The sequence below is a fragment of the Homo sapiens genome, chromosome 12, assembly GCF_000001405.40.
Source record: "Homo sapiens chromosome 12, GRCh38.p14 Primary Assembly".
Lineage (NCBI taxonomy): Eukaryota > Metazoa > Chordata > Mammalia > Primates > Hominidae > Homo > Homo sapiens.
This window is the reverse complement of record NC_000012.12, coordinates 103,193,801-103,210,907: the sequence shown is the minus strand read 5'-3', so window position 1 is coordinate 103,210,907 and position 17,107 is coordinate 103,193,801. Positions and strand designations below refer to the sequence as shown.

Below are 17,107 nucleotides of genomic sequence, written 5' to 3'. Positions count from 1 at the left end.
GCGATCCTCCTGCTTCATCCTCGCAAGTACCTGGGACTACAGGCACATGCCACCACACCCAGCTGAGAGCTTATTTTGTTGGATACTAGGTATATTTGCTTATATTGAGATTGTGTTTTCTTCTTCACTACTAATACCCTGACTGAATTAGTGATAGTCATGGAAAAAGGTCTTGTAACTTCCTGTATGTTTTATTGATCATGAGCAGTCTAAGTTACATAAACAATTAATAAAAGAAAACTAAAAGCAAAAAAAAAAAAAAAAAAAAGAAATAGAGGGTGTTACACCAAGATGAGGATATTACCAATGGTAGCAGAAGAACAGTGTTCATGAAATGCAATATAGCCCATAAAAGAGGCAAAGGGGCAACAGGCTTTCTCAGGCAATAGCAATGAGAAGTCCCCTGATGATGGCCCCACAGAGTGAAAAAGGAAGCAGCCTCCAGGTGAGGAGAGAGGCAAGTGGTAGAAAATGTACGTATCTAACTGTGTGGGAAAGAATATTAGGAAGCGATTTATAGTTCAGTGGTGAGTTTGGGAAGAATTATAATTATAGAAATATAAAAAAATTTGGAAATGGAAAAATGAAATGATTGCTTCAAGATAAAGTTTAGGCAAACAGAAAAATAGAATTGTTTCACAACTTGACTCAGGAAAGAACATTTACCTAGACACAACAATGTAAATATCTCATATCTATTTAACCAAAAATTGTGATAGAATTATAATTTGGAATAATGTGAGAGGAAAATAGGCAGGAGGAACATAAAAGTGGAAAATTACCATCTTTCACTTTAGAAACACAATAGAAAATGTCTAAAATTCACATAGTAGAAGACACTTAAAAAAAAAAAAGTATGGAAGAAACAGCTAAGATGCCAGGAAAGGGCTGTCTTTAAAGAGTGGACTGAGAACAATAAGGCAGGAGATTTCCAGGTTTTGTTTAAACACATTTATTCCATTTATCTTATTAAACTATGTGTGTGTGGTTCTTTGATCAAAGCAAAATTTAATTGCATTAAGAAAGAATTTGGAGGATACAAACTGAAAATCAACATGGAGAAAACACTCCTTTCCACCGTATACATAGACGTGTGGGTACTGAATAGAAAGTTCAAGCCAGACTGGAAGGCTTGACTGGCCATGCACAATGAGGAAGAGCAAGGCGGAGGGATCATCAAGGGAAAAGCTGAAAGATTGAGACTCTCGAATCTGCTGGGAGATAATTTTAGGAGTGAGTTTCCCCAAGGATTGCCTTTGAGACCTCTCCTTTGAAAACGGTCCTAATTCTGTGTCTCAGCGCTGGCCGTTGTGTGAGTATGAGTCAGACCAAGGGCATTTTAGAATAGATGACACTGGTAGAATTTTCTTGGTTTGCAAATCACCTTTTATTAATATTATACTTCAAGGAATGTGTAACACACATTAACAAAGAGCAATCAGAGAAGGAAACTTTGCTGAAAAGGTGCTGACTTACACAGCTTTCTAATTAATTGTGTATATTTTAAACACCAAAGCAGGAGTCTATTTTGTTCTCTGTTGTGTCTCCTCAACCATGTTACAATTAAGACGTATGTATTTCTCACCTAATATAATCAATGAACTGGAAACTATTGACATTTGAGGGAATCTTTGTGAGTGAGGTAAACAACTTTCTATTCAAATATGCCTCATTACACATTATTTAAGTTACATCATTATATAAATACAGATGTTAAGAGTACATTCTGAAGAAAAATTTTCTTTTTTTTTCTGAAATTGATATTCGTGTTCTGCTGGTAACACCTCACTCCCAAACCACATTGGAGTTGCATTAATGATGCTCAAATTTGATTGTTTATTCATTCTACTGTGCTTTTACCAAACTTGAGGAGAAGCACTGTGAAGGGAAGTTTTTTGATGAAATTGGTTTAAGACATTAAGAGTTAATCAGGACACTGATAAAAAAGAATTCGACTTTGTTTCTGTGAAAATGAGGAGATTAGAAAAAGGAAGAAACTGTTCATGAGGATAAGTCTTTCTCACTTTAAGAGCTGAGGGCTTTTATAATGAGGAACACTAAGCTCATTTTACATCACACAGAATTTAGCATTGCACCTGCTTAGAGTGAGAGCAAACTGAGCAAAAATAACAAAAATGAATGCAAGAAGTTACCCTAAAACACAAGCCTACTCAAAGATTAAAGTGGGGGAAATAATAACACATTTTCTTTTACAAAAATATGGGTGAAGAATGGAATTGCTATTGTTCTGCATGTTTTTCTAAATCAAGTCTGACCAGAGTCCAAGAAAAATTTTTCTAAGATAATGCCAAAAAATTGCTCTTTCTGGGCAAAAATCAGTCTTAATTCCCTTTGTCATAATGTAACGCTTCCTCTGTTACATTTTTCTTTAGTCAACAGTGTAAAAACAATTTATTGTCGATCTGAAAATTGTTTTTGTGGGGCTCAAAACTTTGTGGTTTATATAAATGTAGTAATTCTCTAGATTACCATTTCACGGTACACTGCACACCAAAGAAAGCAACCTGTGTCTTTTACGCAAGAGTGTGGGTGGGTGGGGAGATCTAAAGGGGGGCCGTGTGGGGAGCCATCAGCCCCAGAAGTAATCAGATAAAGCTAGTGGCTTGGTATTAGTGTGTTAGCTTTGTCTAAGTCCCAGCATCTTCAATGGGCCAGCCCCTCTTCATTTGTCACCCCAGCGCACCTTTTGTGCAAATAATTTCCCATTGGTATTACCCAGAGCTTGGAGTCGATAGCCGACTAGCCTCTTTGCTTGTACCATTATTTCCAGCAAGCTTGCTACATCTGCAATAAATCCTGGAGGATTTGTGGGTGGACTGAGGAAGTGTGAGTGGCAGAATGAGGTGATAAGGCCTGGATTCGGCTGAAACAAAAGCTTTTCCATTCTGGCCTGACGTGGTAGAGTCACAGCATCTGAAGATTTGATTTGATCAAGTTTTTGCCAGCTGTCACAGGGAGTTCAAGCAAGTTAAAAATGAAGCCCATGAGCCTTTCTCTTGTACTCCATTAAGCTTGCCTGTAAGCACTGGTGATGAAAATCTTTCTCTTTTCTTAGCCTTTTTATGTTGTGGTGGTGGTAGAGAACAACGGATCTTCAAGAAGATGGATCAGATATGCCAAGGAACTGTTTTAAGTGATAGGCCCAGATGAAAATCTCTGGATTTAGATAGCAGTCACTGGCAATTTTCAGGTGTCGGGGCAAGAAATGTGGTTTAATCAAAATTTCTCAGCTTGGTTGCAGAGGGGCTACAATGAGTTTTTCAAAGCAGAGTCGTTTTCCAGCAAGATCAAATCCATGGCTGTCATATTATATACATTTTTCTCCTTCTGGGTTTTATTTTCTCTTTTATCCAGAAAAGCTTAACTTGGAAGTGATGTCTGTTTATCAGCAGTGGCTCATTATGTCCATGAATGTGAGCACATCTGTGCGCGCGCACGTGTGTGCGCACGCATTTTAAACTACAAAGGAAAGAAGGCAACGTGGCTTCTGAAAAGCATATTGCATGAGAATCTGGGCAGTTACTCAAATATTTCTGTGTGGTGCTTGGGTATCAGGATCCCCTGTTAGGGCTCTGTATCAGTCAGCATAGTCTGAGTTACGTCTTGGTAACAAAGAACCCTAAATTTTCAGTGGTTCATAACACAAAATTTTGGTTAATCATGCTATATTTCTATCTGGGTCAGCTGTGCTCTCTGCCATTTGCCTGCACTCAGGTGGAGGGAGCAACCTCTGTCTGGGATATTACTTCTCTAATGGCAGAGGGACATGACAAATCATGCACTGACTCTTAAACCTCTGCTTACAGGAGGCACATGTCGCATTTCCTTAATGAAAGCATGCCACAGAGCTACCTTTTCATCCTTGGGGTGGGGAGAGATAAGAATTCCACAAGAGGGAAACAGAACTGGTTGGAGGCACAGTGACATAATCTCTAGCAGCACTCAGTTTCCCTATCTGTAATGTGAGAGAGCTCTGATTCCATTCAGTGGCACTGTAAGGCAGCAGTTCTAGCCGGGAAGATCGGCTGGAGGTGCTCCAGTGCAGAGAACGTTCCAAGACCATCATATTATGGATGGTGAATATGAAATTCTCACTTGGCTGGATGAAACGTATGTATCACAGCAGAGTAGTAGTTGTGGAAAAAGAAGGAAAAAATCAGTGAACCTAGGAGAAACTGTTTTCAAATATGACTTACACTTTATTTAAATTAAAAATAGTAAGCTCTGATTCTGCCACTGTACTCTAGCTTGGGCGAGACAGTGAGACCCCATCTCTTAAGTTAATTAATTAATTAAGTTTGTTAGTTTCTCTGTGAGGAATGAAAGTCACTTTTTAATCATGTGTGTGTGTGTGTGTGTGTGTGTAATATAGAAAAGGTCCAAAAAAGATTAATGTATTATAGAGATAACACTTATGCAACTACCACTCAAAATATAGAACATTGCCAATATTCCAGGAGCCCCAAAGTGTCCCTTCCCAGTAATAGCTCCCTCATTTTTCTGCAAAGATAACCAGTAAAGGCTGGCTTAGAGCTTCCTGCAAACAGACTCTAAGTTGGAAATTGCAGGCAGAGGATTTACTGGGGATATTCTTGAGAGAAATACCTGTAAGAACATTAGGAAGGCAAGAGGAGTAGAGGAAGAAGCCAGTTCACAGTGGTTCCATCAGTGGCTGTGTCAGTACCACATAGGTTCTTTGATTTGGGCTAGCCCTTTGGCGTTGAGTGCTGGATCTTTATATTCCCACATCAGCCAATCACTAGGCACTAAACCCTAGTCACTAGGCAAACCCTGATAGAGGGTGTGGCCTTGAGTGAAGAAGTTCCCCGTGGCCAAGAGTAATTCCCAGTTTGTCACTCAGGTGTGAACCATCAGCAGAGAATATTCTCAGCGGCTGAGAAGGGAACATGGGATGTCAAGAGGGAATCCTGGAACCACAGTATTCACAGAACTATTATAGCTCCTTCTTTTATATACTTTTTAATTTGAACGCTTACATATGCCTCTTATGTATGTTTTAAACATCTGGTTTGTTTTACTCAACATTGTATTTTTAAGATTCAACACTGTTGCCTGTGGTTGTAATACACATTCATTTTCATGTCAGCATTGTATTCTATTTTATGATTATACCCCAATTCACCCATTGTACTATAGAGACATTGGACTGCTTCCTGCCTTTGGCTGTATACATAATTCTGCTATGAATACTGCTATAAATGTCTCTTGGTGCATATGTACATGTGTGTGTCTCAGGTAGATAAGCAGGTGTGGCACTGCTGAGATACGGGCTAATATGGTTTTGCTGTGCCCCCACCCAAATCTCATCTTGAATTGTAGCTCCCATAATCCCTACAAGTCTTGAGAAGGACCCAGCAGGAGGTAATTGAATCATGGGGGCAAGTTTTTCCAGTGCTGTTTTCATGATAGTGAATAGGTCTCATGAGATCTGATGGCTTTATAAAGGGGAGTTCCCCTGCACATGCTCTCTTGCCTGCCACCATGTAAGATGTGACTTTCTCTTCCTTCACTTTCTGCCATGATTGTGAGTCTTCCCCAGGCATGTGGAACTGTGAGTCCACTAAAACTCTTTCCTTTATAAATTTCCCAGGTTTGGGTATGTCTTTATTAGCAGTGTGAAAACGAACTAGTACTCGGGCTATACATACTTTCAACTTTCCAAGATAACATCGAACAGCTTATTTTCCAACGAATAGTGTTTTTGTTCCCATTGTTCCACAGCCTCATCAACACTTACTATTTTTGATTGTCATCTTTTTTGTTGTTTGCTTGTTTTTAATGTAGCCATATGGTAGCTATTGAGCCATGTCTCATTATGGTGTTATCTTCCACTTCCCTGGTGACTAGTCAGTTTGAGCATCTTTTCAAATATATTTGTTATTTGTTAAGATTTCCTTTTTGTAGAGGAGGCTGTTTTTGCCCTTTTTTTAACTTTCTCTTTTTCCTAGTGAATTAAATAAGATCTTTATATATTTTAGATGTATCAATATTGTAAATAGGTCAATATTACAAATATTTTATTCTACTTTATGGCTGCCTTTTCATCTTCTTCTTCATGTCCCAAAAGTTTTTAATTTTAAGGTAATCAAAATTTATAAATTATTTTTGTCTTGTGAAATGCTGTGACCTTCAGTTTGCATAAGTAGTTTGGATTCATATACCTTGAAATATACAGATACAGTGAAATATACTATCTCATTCAATTGTGTGATGAGACGATATCTTGTGCTATTTTTCCTAAAAAAGCATTTTGAGTGTCTGGAAAGAGAAATGATTTGCTTTGCAAGATAAATTTACCTTCATTTTAACTTCAGGTTCTTTTCATTTTGACCATTGAATACACATGGATATGGAACTAGTTATTTAAACAAAAGAGACCTGCAAAGATATAAAAATGTACAAATTCAAATTCAACTGATTTTTCAAAGTTGCAATCTCTTTTCAGTAGACATGATCATTTCAGTAGTTGAGGAAAAAAAATTAACTCAGCAGGAGGCAGAAAAGAAAATCTGTCATGTACAAGCTGGAAAAATGAAAAGGGTTTAAATGAGTTAATGGACTGATGGTTTTGTAATGGGATTTTTTAAAGAAGTTGAAAGTTTTAGGGTCTGTCCATAACCTTTTAAGAACTATGTCACTTAGGGCAATGACTCCCAGCAGTTCCTTAAAGCCATCTCATTGGCTATTAGCAAGGTTATTTGACCCTGACGTATTTCAAACTGTGAATTTCCTTTTCCCCTGTGCATCTCCCAGGGCCAAGAATGTAGGCGCAAATTTAAGATGGTGGAGATTGAAGCTGTGCCTGCATAGTGGGAGTTTGACTTGTACATCTTGCTGGTTTTGCCAGCTGAAGAAATGATTTTATCATCATAGAAGCTGGAGCTTATAGGGGAAAGTAACCTGGTCCTGGGGCTGGGCTTTTCCTTCAATAATGTCCTTCCTATCAAAAATAAATTTCTGCTCTTCTCCTTTACATCTTTGCCATTCTCTGGCCTAAAATGTTGGGTGCTCATCTTTCCTAGCATTACATCTCAATTTTTCAGTAGACGTTTGGTTACACATATCTGTGCTGTAACCCAAAGTTGAGAGTCTCTGATATCAAGCAACAACACCTCTCCTTTTGTTGCTAGCTAGATACTTGGTACTATTTAGTGACTGGCCACAAAAGGGGAATTGTCATGCTCTTATGTTTGGGAAACCCAATCTGTCATTGTACTGCAGTATTCCTATTAGTGATGTCTTATCTGTGTGTCCTTGTGCCAGGAGGAGCTCCCATCTGAAAAGTTAAATTTCCATTTCTGTCTCAAGTAAAGATGTCAACAACCCATAGCTTTTAATTAATTAACCCAGAGTGGACATTTTTTTAAAGTAATTATGAGCTTTAAATCCTCAAGTCTCCAAGTTTTGATAGGTTAACCCACTTGGCTTCAATAAACACTCAAAATCAACATTTTCCTAGCAACCTTTGCCTGGGTCCAGTAAACATTATTCTTTTTCACTGCATAGGTTTTGATCAAAATTGAAAAAATAAAACAAAACACTAAAGGAACTATGACAAAAATCCTGTGATAACATGCCCTATGAAATCACGGGATTGGGGATCAGGGGCAATCCCCCATCCAGCTCCCTCTCTCAAGTTGCAGGGGATGAGTGACACAGAGGGAAGGGCAAAGCTAGGTGAGGAAACTTCAGACAACCACATCTTGACAAATGGGGAAGTGAAAGGTGGGTCTCCATATCCCTGGTATTCTCCTGGCCCAATATCCCTGTATCAGTATGACAAAACAAATATCAAATATCTGGGAGAGCCTGAAGTTGCTGCCACTACCCTTCAAGTCCTAGTCAGGCACAAAATCTTGAGTCAGTCATCCTCAATGGTGTAGTGCCAGAATAGATTTAGATCACAAATTGGAACACCATAACCAGGTGCTAGGACAAATTTAGATGACAAATCGAAATACCAGCTAGCTATACAGGTGTACCTGATTAGTCCATCAATCTCACAATAAACTGACTGAAAATCCAACAGCTGAATTGTTTGGCCCCCTCACCACTTACTATGTCAATGCAGGGTCTTTACTATTTGTCCCATATTACCAGTGAAAGCTAAGTTGAAGGAAGTCACTTAGCTTGAGACAAAAAAGCTTGCTGCCTGAGCCCTAGAAGGAGACAGATTTGTCCACCAGACAGAAGCAATGCTCCTTATATTGGAGTCAGGAAAACGGTAACTAGAATAAGACTTACGGCACAGAAAAGCAGAAAACTTCCTGTGGCAGCTTCTCCAAAAGGGAAAAATGGATGAGCTGAGGCAAGCATACACAGTTTATTCTTTCCAGATTTTCCAGTTAGACTCAACTGTTAACACTCAATGGTCTTCTGTTAAGTGGAGATATACTAACTCCTTTCCAGGTATTTTCAGGGTGTATGATCTCAAATCCTTGTCCCTCTACACTTAGAAAATCTTGGAAAGAAGAAGTATTTGTAGAGATTCATCTGAAGAATGGGTAGACCCATTCTTTTCCCTGAGTAAATGGGTCTCAAAAGGCCTTTGTTTGGACTCTTTAGCAAAATACTTTATTTCAAGTGAAGTATGTAAACAGATCCAAGAAGATACTGTAAATGGAATGGAACTCTGGGACACAGATCCACCTTTACTCGTCCTGATTCTTGCCAGCCTTGGCAAGTTCTAGAGATCACTGGGATCCTTCCAGTACTCCACAGGAAATCGTAGGTTTAGAGAAACAAGCATTTTGATGGATTAATCCAGGGCTACAGAAAGCTGGATTCCCAGAGTCTGTGGTTGCTGGCCCTGGTAGAGTTACTAGGTTACTAGGTGTTTGCATTGTTGAAGTTTGCCGTTTGATATTAGAATACATTCTTAAATAAATGTGGTAATGTTATACATCATTTTGATGCACATTTCTTGCTTTTTTTTGGCTAATTACTTATTACTTGCTTATTTTATATTTATTTTAGACTATGCAAATGATGTTAACAAAAAGCAAACGAGTGATTTTCTTATTCAACTTCAAAATGGGTCATAAAGCAGTGAAGACAACTCACAACATCAACGCATTTGGCCCAGGAACTACTAATAAACATACAGTGCAGTGGTGGTTCAAGAAGTTTTGCAAAGGAGATGAGAGGCTTGAAGATGAGAAGCATAGTGGCTGGCCATCAGAAGTTGACAACGGCCAATTGAGAGCAATTATCGAAGCTGATCCTCTTACAACTACGTGAGGAGTTGCTGAAGAACTCAACCTTGACCATTCTATGGTCATTCAGCATTTGAAGCAAATTGGAAGGGTGAAAAATCTCAATAAGTGGGTGCCTCATGAGCTGAGCAAAACTTTTTTTTTTAATTTTCATTTTGAAGTGTTGTCTTCTCTTATTCTATGCAACAACAATGAACCATTTCTTGATCGCATTGTGATTTGAGATGAAAAGTGGATTTTATAGGATATCCGACAATGCCCAGCTCAGCGGTTGGATGGAGAAGAAGCTCCAAAGCAAGCACTTCACAAAGCCAAACTTGCACCAAAAAATGGTCATGGTCACTGTTTGGTGGTCTGCTGCCACTCTGATCCACTACGGCTTTCTGAATCCCAGCAAAACCGTTACATCTGAAAAGTATGCTCAGCAAATCAATGAGATGCACCAAAAACTTCAATACTGGCAGCCAGCATTGGTCAGCAGAAAGGGCCCAATTTTTCTCCATAACAATGCCTGATGGCATGTCACACAGCTAATGCTTCAAAAATTGAATAAATTAGCTTATGAAGTTTTGCCTCATCTGCCGTATTCACCTGACCTCTCGCCAACTGACTACCACTTCTTCAAGCACCTTGACAACTTTTTGCAGGGAAAATGCTTCCATAACCAGCAGGATGCAGAAATTGCTTTCCAAGAGATCATCAAATCCCAAAGCACAGATTTTTATGATACAGAAATAAACAAGCTTATTTCTCATTGGCAAAAATGTGTTGATTGTAATTGTTCCTATTTTGATGAATAAAGATGTGTTTGAGCCTAATTATAATGATTTAAAATTCTTGGTCTAAAACTGCAATTACTTTTGCACCAACCTAAAACTTAGTTATATTTAGTTGTAATGTCTTCCACTTCCACTAAGAGAAGTTATTGAAAAACAAACAGGCATACAAAACTAATTATACTTATTGTAAGGATGTTATTGAGAATGTTTACTGCATTAAATAATTTCATTCTTTTTTTCAAATTCAACATACATAATTAATGTGTACAACTTGATGAATTTGGAGCTGAGTACACACCTGCGAAGCCATCACCTCAATCTATGCCATTAAACTATCCATCACCTCTAAAAGTTTCCTCCTGCTCTTATTTATTATTTTTTGTGTGATTAGAACACAATATAATATATACCCTTTTATGGCATATATGCAATACAGTATTGTTAACTTTAGGTGCTATAATATACAGTAAATCTCTGTAATTTGATTAAGTTGTATAACTGAAACTTTATGCCTTTTGACTAATACCTCTCTGCTTCCCTGTTTCCCCAGTCACTGGCAACCACCATTCCACTTTCTACTTCTAAGCGTTTGACTAATCCAGATTTATCATATAAGGGGTGTCATGTAGTATTTGCCCTTCTGTGTCTGGCTTATTTCATTTAGCATAATGTCCTCTAAGTTCACCCATTTTGTTTCAAATAAGCAGGGTTTTCTTCTTTTTTAAGCCTGATTAATATTCCACATATGTGTATACCGTATTTTTTTTTCCATTCATCTGTTAATGGACATTTAGACTGTTTCCATATCTTTGCTATTGTGAATAAAACTGCAATGAACATGGGAGTGCAAATATCTCTTCCAGATCCTGATTTCAATGTGTTTGCATCCATACTCAAGAATGAAATTCCTGGATCATACGGTTGTTCCACTTTTAGTTTTCTGGGGACCTCCAAACCGTTTTCTGAATTGGCTGTACCAATTCACATACCCATTAACATTGTAAAAGGGTTCCTTTTTCTCCAAATTTTCACCAGTATTTATCTTCCATTTTCTAAATGGAAAGATTTAGAAACAAAAGCCATCCTAACAGGTGTGAGTTGGTACCTCATTGTGTTTTTGATTTATATTTCTCTGATTATTACTGATTCTGAGCAACTTTTTATACACCTGGTGTTCAATTGTGTGTCTTCTTCAGAGAAATGTTTGTTTATTAATGGTTTCTTTGCCTATTTTAACATTAGGTTATTTGTTTTTTTGCTATTGAGTTATAGAAGTTCTTTACCTATTTTGGGTATTAACCCTTTATCAAATATGTGGTTTACAAATATTTTCCCCCATTCTGTCAGTCGCCTTCTCATTTTGTTGACTGTATTCTTGGCTGTGAGGAAGACTTTTAGGTTGACTTATCTAATTTTACCTATATTGCCTGTGTTTTTTGTGTCATATCCAAAAAAATTATTGCCAACATCAGTGTCCAAAAGGTTTCCCTTATGCTTATTTTCAGGAATTATGTGGTTTCAAATATTGTGTTTATAATGAATTATTATTATAATTCATTTTGAGTTGATTTTTAGGTCTGGTGTGAGTTGAGGGTTCAATTTCATTCCTTTGAATGTGGATATCCAGCTTTTCCAACACTTTATTAAAGAAACTATTCTTTCACCATTATGTATTCTTGGTACTGTTGTGAAACATCAGTTGACCATATATGCCTGGATTTATTCCTGTGGTCTCTATTCTGTCCCATTGGTTTATATGTCTGTTTTGCCACCAGAACCACACTGTTTTGATTACTGTAGTTTTATAATATATTTTGAAATCAGGTAGTGTGATGTTTCCAGCTTCATTCATATTGCTCAAAATTCCTATGGCTATTTGGGGTCTTCTAATATTATTTTTCTGTATCTCTAAAAATTGCTATTGGAGCAGCAAGATGGCTGACTAGAAGCAGCCAGGAAGAGCTGCCCCCACCTAGAGACCAGACCATCAAGAAGACTGGCACATTCTGAGTAAATCCTTGGAAGGAAGGCATTGAGAGTGGATGGAGGGAAGATGCAGATCCTGGGATCATGGGGGAGGAAGCTAGGAACCCTGCATGGGATTGCTAAACACAGGGACTTGTCCCTGGTCCTGAGCAAATCTCAGGGAAGGGGTGAGTTAAGCAGGTGTGGAGTAGCACACTCTTGCCACAGACCTCAGGAATCCTAGCTGCAGGGGGCCCCATGAACCCCATGGACATTTGAGCTGGAAGGCAGAGCTGCTTGCAGAGTCAGCAGTGACAGGACTACAGCCTGTGCAGAGCCCAGATCGTTTGGCATGAGAACAGTTACAGTGGAGCATGGCGAGGGATGCCCATCTCACAAGGATCACCATGCTCCTCTAGGTGGCTTTGGCCTTTGGTGACTGTTGGACCTGGACAAGTAGGGTGGTCTTGCTTGTGGAGTGGCGTCAGTCTGGTCTGAGCACCAATCTGTCTGCCGGCCTCTCCCAGGGTTCCTGCCTGGCTGAGCTCAATTGCAGTGCAGCCTCACATGCCCAACCACAGTGCTTCCCAGTGCCACTGTCATAGCTCCTTCTCTGGCAGAGGTCACCTATCTGTCAAAGAGCTTCTGCAGGTGAAGCTAGTGCATGCTTGTCCACAGCCTCTCCCTCTGTTTTGCTGGCACTCATTCACCCACGGCCATCCCCTACTGTGTTACTGGAATGTGTATGCAGATCCTGTTGCTTCACCGCCACTATTGCATGTATGCAGACCTCACTGTCACTGCCTGCTTCTGTGTGTGTGTATGTGCACAGGTGCTGCTACTCTACTGCTGGCAGCACACACATGTGACTGTGGATCCTGCTGCCTCTGTCCCAGTGAAACACTTTTGCTGGGACCCCCTCCCCCATTGGAATGTTATTGTCAGTGGACTGGGAACACCTGGGTCTCTTCAGTACAGCAGGTGCTCAACCTTAAGGGGCCAGAGAACAAAGCCATGGGCCTGGTCCCAGCCCCCTACAATTACAGCATGCAGCCCAGGAGTGCTGAGCTGAGGCTTGTCTCACTGAAGTCATCCAGAAACAAAGCCGGTTGACTGAACCCAACTCATACAAAAACCAAACCCTCACAGCCATCAAAGAGTATAAAAGCAAAAAGCCCTATCCAAAGGAAGCAACTTCAAAGATTGAAGGAACATCAGCCAGACAGATGAGAAACAACCAGTGCAATAACTCTGTCAATTCAAAAAACCAGAGGGTCTTCTTGCCTCCAAGTGACCATACTAGCTCTCCAGCAATTATTCTTAATCAGACTTAAATAGCTGGAATAAAAGACATAGCATTCAGAATCTGGATGGCAAGGAAGATCATCGAGATTCAGGAGAAAATTGAAACCCAATCCAAGGAATCTAAGGAATGTATTAAAACAATACAAGATCTGAGAGATGAAACAGTCATTTTATGAATGACCCAAACTGGTCTTAAAAAGCTAAAACAAACTCACTACAAGTATTTCACAATATAATCGGAAGTATTAACAGCTGAATAGACCAAGCTGAGGAAAGAATCTCAGATCCCCACCAAGGGAACCCTATCAGGCTAACATCAGAACTTTTAGCAGAAACTGTACAAGCCAGAACAGATTAGAGGCCTACATTCAGCATCCTTAATGAAAATAAATTCCAACCAAAAATTTTATATCCAGCCAAACCGAGCTCCATAAACAAAAGTGAAATAAAATCTTTTTCAGACAAGCAAATGCTAAGGGAAATTGTTACCACCAGACCTTCCTTAGAAAAGGTACTTAAGGGAATGCTAAACACAGAAATGAAAAAACATTACCAGCTACCACAAAAACACACTTAAGTCCATAGACCAATGACACTATACATCAACTATACAATTAAGTCTACATACCAACCAGCTAAGAACATGATGACAGGATCAAATCTGCACGTATCAATATGAGTCTTAAATGTAAATGGGCTAAACACCTCACTTAAAAGGCACACAATGACAAGTTGGATACAGAAGCAAAACCCAACTGTATATTATCTTCATGAGACCCTCTCACATTCAATGACACCTGTAAGCTCAAAGAAAAGGAATGGAAAAAATCTATCAAGCAAACAGAAGACAAGAGTAGAGGTCGCTATTCTTGTTTCAGAAAAAAAAACAGACTTTAAACCAACAATGACTTAAAAGGACAAATAAGGGTATTGCGTAATAATAAAGACAGATTCAACAAGAATACTTAACTATTCTAAATATATATATGCCCAACACTAGAGCACCTAGATTCATAAAACAAATTCTGAAAGACCCACAAAGCGATATAAGAGTGGCAGACTTCAATATCCCACTAATAGTATTAGCCAGATCATCGAGGCAGAAAACTAACAAAAATACTTGGGACATAAACTCAGTACTTGACCAAATGGACCTAATAGATATCTACAGAACATACTGCCCAACAACAACAGAATATACATTCTTCTCATCTGTACGTGGTGTATACTCTAAAATCAACCACATACTTAGTGATAAAACAATTCTGAACAAATTCAAAAGAACACAAAACGAAATCATATTAAACATACTCTAGAACACAGCAATAAAAATAGAAATCAACAGCAAGAAGATCTCCCAAAACAGTACAATTATATGGAAATTAAACAATCTCCTCTTGAATGACTTTTGAATAAATAATGAAATTAAGGAAGAAAGCAATAAATTGTTTGAAACTAATGAAAACAAAGTTACAACATAACAAAACATTTGGGATACTGCTAACACAGTGTTAAAAGGAAAGTTTATAGCACTAAATGCCCATATCAAAAGACTCCTTATACAATAAATGATGTCGGGATTCAATAATTGGCTAGCTATGTGCAGAAGATTGAAACTGGACCCCTTCCTTTTACCATATACAAATATAAACTAAAGATGGATGAAAAACTTAAATATAAAACCTAAAACTATGAAAACCCCAGAGGCAAATTCAGGAAATATCATTCTGAATATAGGCTCTGGCAAAGATTTCATGATAAAGACTCCAAAAGCAATTACAACAAAAACAAAAATTGAGAAATTGGATTTAATTAAACTAAAGAGCTTCTGCACAGCAAAGGAAATTGTCAACAGAGTAAACAGATGACCTACAGAATAGGAAAAAATATTTGCAAACCATACATCTGACAGAATCTGATAGAATCTATAAACAACTTAAAAATATTAATGAGCAAAAAACAACCCCATTAAAAAATGGGCAAATGACATGAACAGACAATTTGCAAAAGAAAATATACATCTAGCCAACAAGCATATGAAAACATGCTTAACATCAATAATCATAATATAAATGCAAATCAAAATCACAATGAGATAGCATCTCATACCAGTCAGGATGGCCATTATTAAATGTCAAAAAATAACAGATGCTGGCAAGGTTGTGGAGAAAAGAGGATGCTTATACATTGCTGATGGGAATGCAAATTAGTTCAGCCACTCCGGAAAGCAGTTTGACAATTCCTCAAAGAACTTAAAACAGAACCATCATTCAACCCAGCAATTCCATTACTGGGTATATACCCAAAGGAATAGATATCATTCTACCATAAATACACATGCATGTGTATATTCATCATAGCACTATTCACAAAGCAAGACATGAAATCAACATAGATGCCCATCAGTGGTGGACTGGATAAAGAAAATGTGGTACATATGCACCGTGGTATACCACACAGCCATAAAAAAGCAAAACCACGTGCTTTGCAACAACATGGTTGGAATTGGAGGTCATTATCCTAACCAAATTAACACAGTAACAGAAAACCAAATACTGAATATTCTTGCTTATAAGTGGGAGCTAAACACTGAGTTCATATTGACACAAAGAAGGAAAAATAGACACTAGGGATTACTTGAAGCTGGAAGGTGGAAGGAGAATGAGGATTGAAAAAAATACCTATCAGGTGCTATGTTTGTTACCTGGGTGATGAAATAATCTGAACACCAAACCCCACCAATACACAATTTACCCACCTAACAAACCTGCACATGTACTTCCTGAAACAAAATAAAAGTTGGAAAAAATGCTTTTGGAATTTTGATAGAGATTGAATCTAATTTGTAGATCACTTTGGGTAGCATGTACATTTTAACAATATTAATTCTTCCAATTCGTGGACATGGGATGTCTTCCTTTTTATGTCTTCTTTAATTGTTTTCATAAGTGTTTGTATTATGATTTTCACTATAGATGTTTTCCACCTTTTCACTTGAGTTTATTCCTAAGTATTCTATTATTTTTGATGCTATCGTAAATGAAATTGTTTTTTGAATTTTCTTTTGGTATGCTTTGTTGTTAGTGTATGGAAAGGCAACTAATTTTTGTATGTTGATTTTGTTTCCTAAAAATATGCTGTATTTATTTACTAGTTCTAACAGTTTGTGGAGTCCTTTAGGCTTTTCTAGATATGAGATCATGTCATTTTCAAGCAAAGGTAATTTTACTTTTTCCTTTTCAATTTGGATGCCTTTTATTTCTTTCTCTTGCCTAATTTCTCTGGCTAGGAATTCCAGTACTCTACTGAATACAAGTGCAAGAGTGGGCATCTTTGCCTTGTTTTGATCTTACAGGAAAAGCTCTTCAATTTTCACTGTTGAGTATGCTACCTATGGGTTTTTCATATATAGCCTTTATTATGTGTCGAGGTAAGTTTCTTCATATCTGATTTTTTGAGTTTTTTTTTTTAGCATGAGATGTTAACTTTTTTCAAATGCTTTTTCTGCATCTATTGAGATGATAATATGATTTTATCCTTCATTTGTTAATGTGGACTATCATACTGATTAACTTGCATGTGTTAAGCCATGCTTGCATTTCAGGGATAAATCTTACTTGGTCATGGTGTATGATGCTTCTAATGTGGTTTGAATTCTGTTAGCAAATGTTTTGTTGAGGATTTTTGCCTTCATGTTCATCAAGGATAATGGCCTATAGTTTTGTGTTGGTGCCATTGTCTGCTTTTGGTATCAGAGTGATGCTGGGCTCACAAAAAAGAGTTTGGAAGTATTCCCTCTTC

At 38.0% G+C, this 17,107-nt stretch overlaps 1 protein-coding gene across 6 annotated transcripts in view; it reads left to right on the top strand.

Moving 5' to 3' along the window:
• Positions 1 to 17,107, top strand: part of C12orf42 (chromosome 12 open reading frame 42) — a 516,167-nt gene that overhangs the window by 352,883 nt on the left and 146,177 nt on the right. For 3 of the 6 annotated variants that reach the window (NR_170332.1, NR_170337.1, XM_047428807.1), the window contains one exon: positions 9,019 to 10,075. The exons of the other annotated variants lie outside the window; for them this stretch is intronic. Coding sequence is in view for 1 of the 3 variants with exons in the window: in XM_047428807.1 (XP_047284763.1) it covers positions 9,019 to 9,031 (13 nt within the window). In the remaining 2 variants the exon portion in view is untranslated. Of the gene's footprint in view, positions 1 to 9,018; positions 10,076 to 17,107 lie in introns of those variants that run through there. 6 annotated transcript variants of the gene reach the window in all.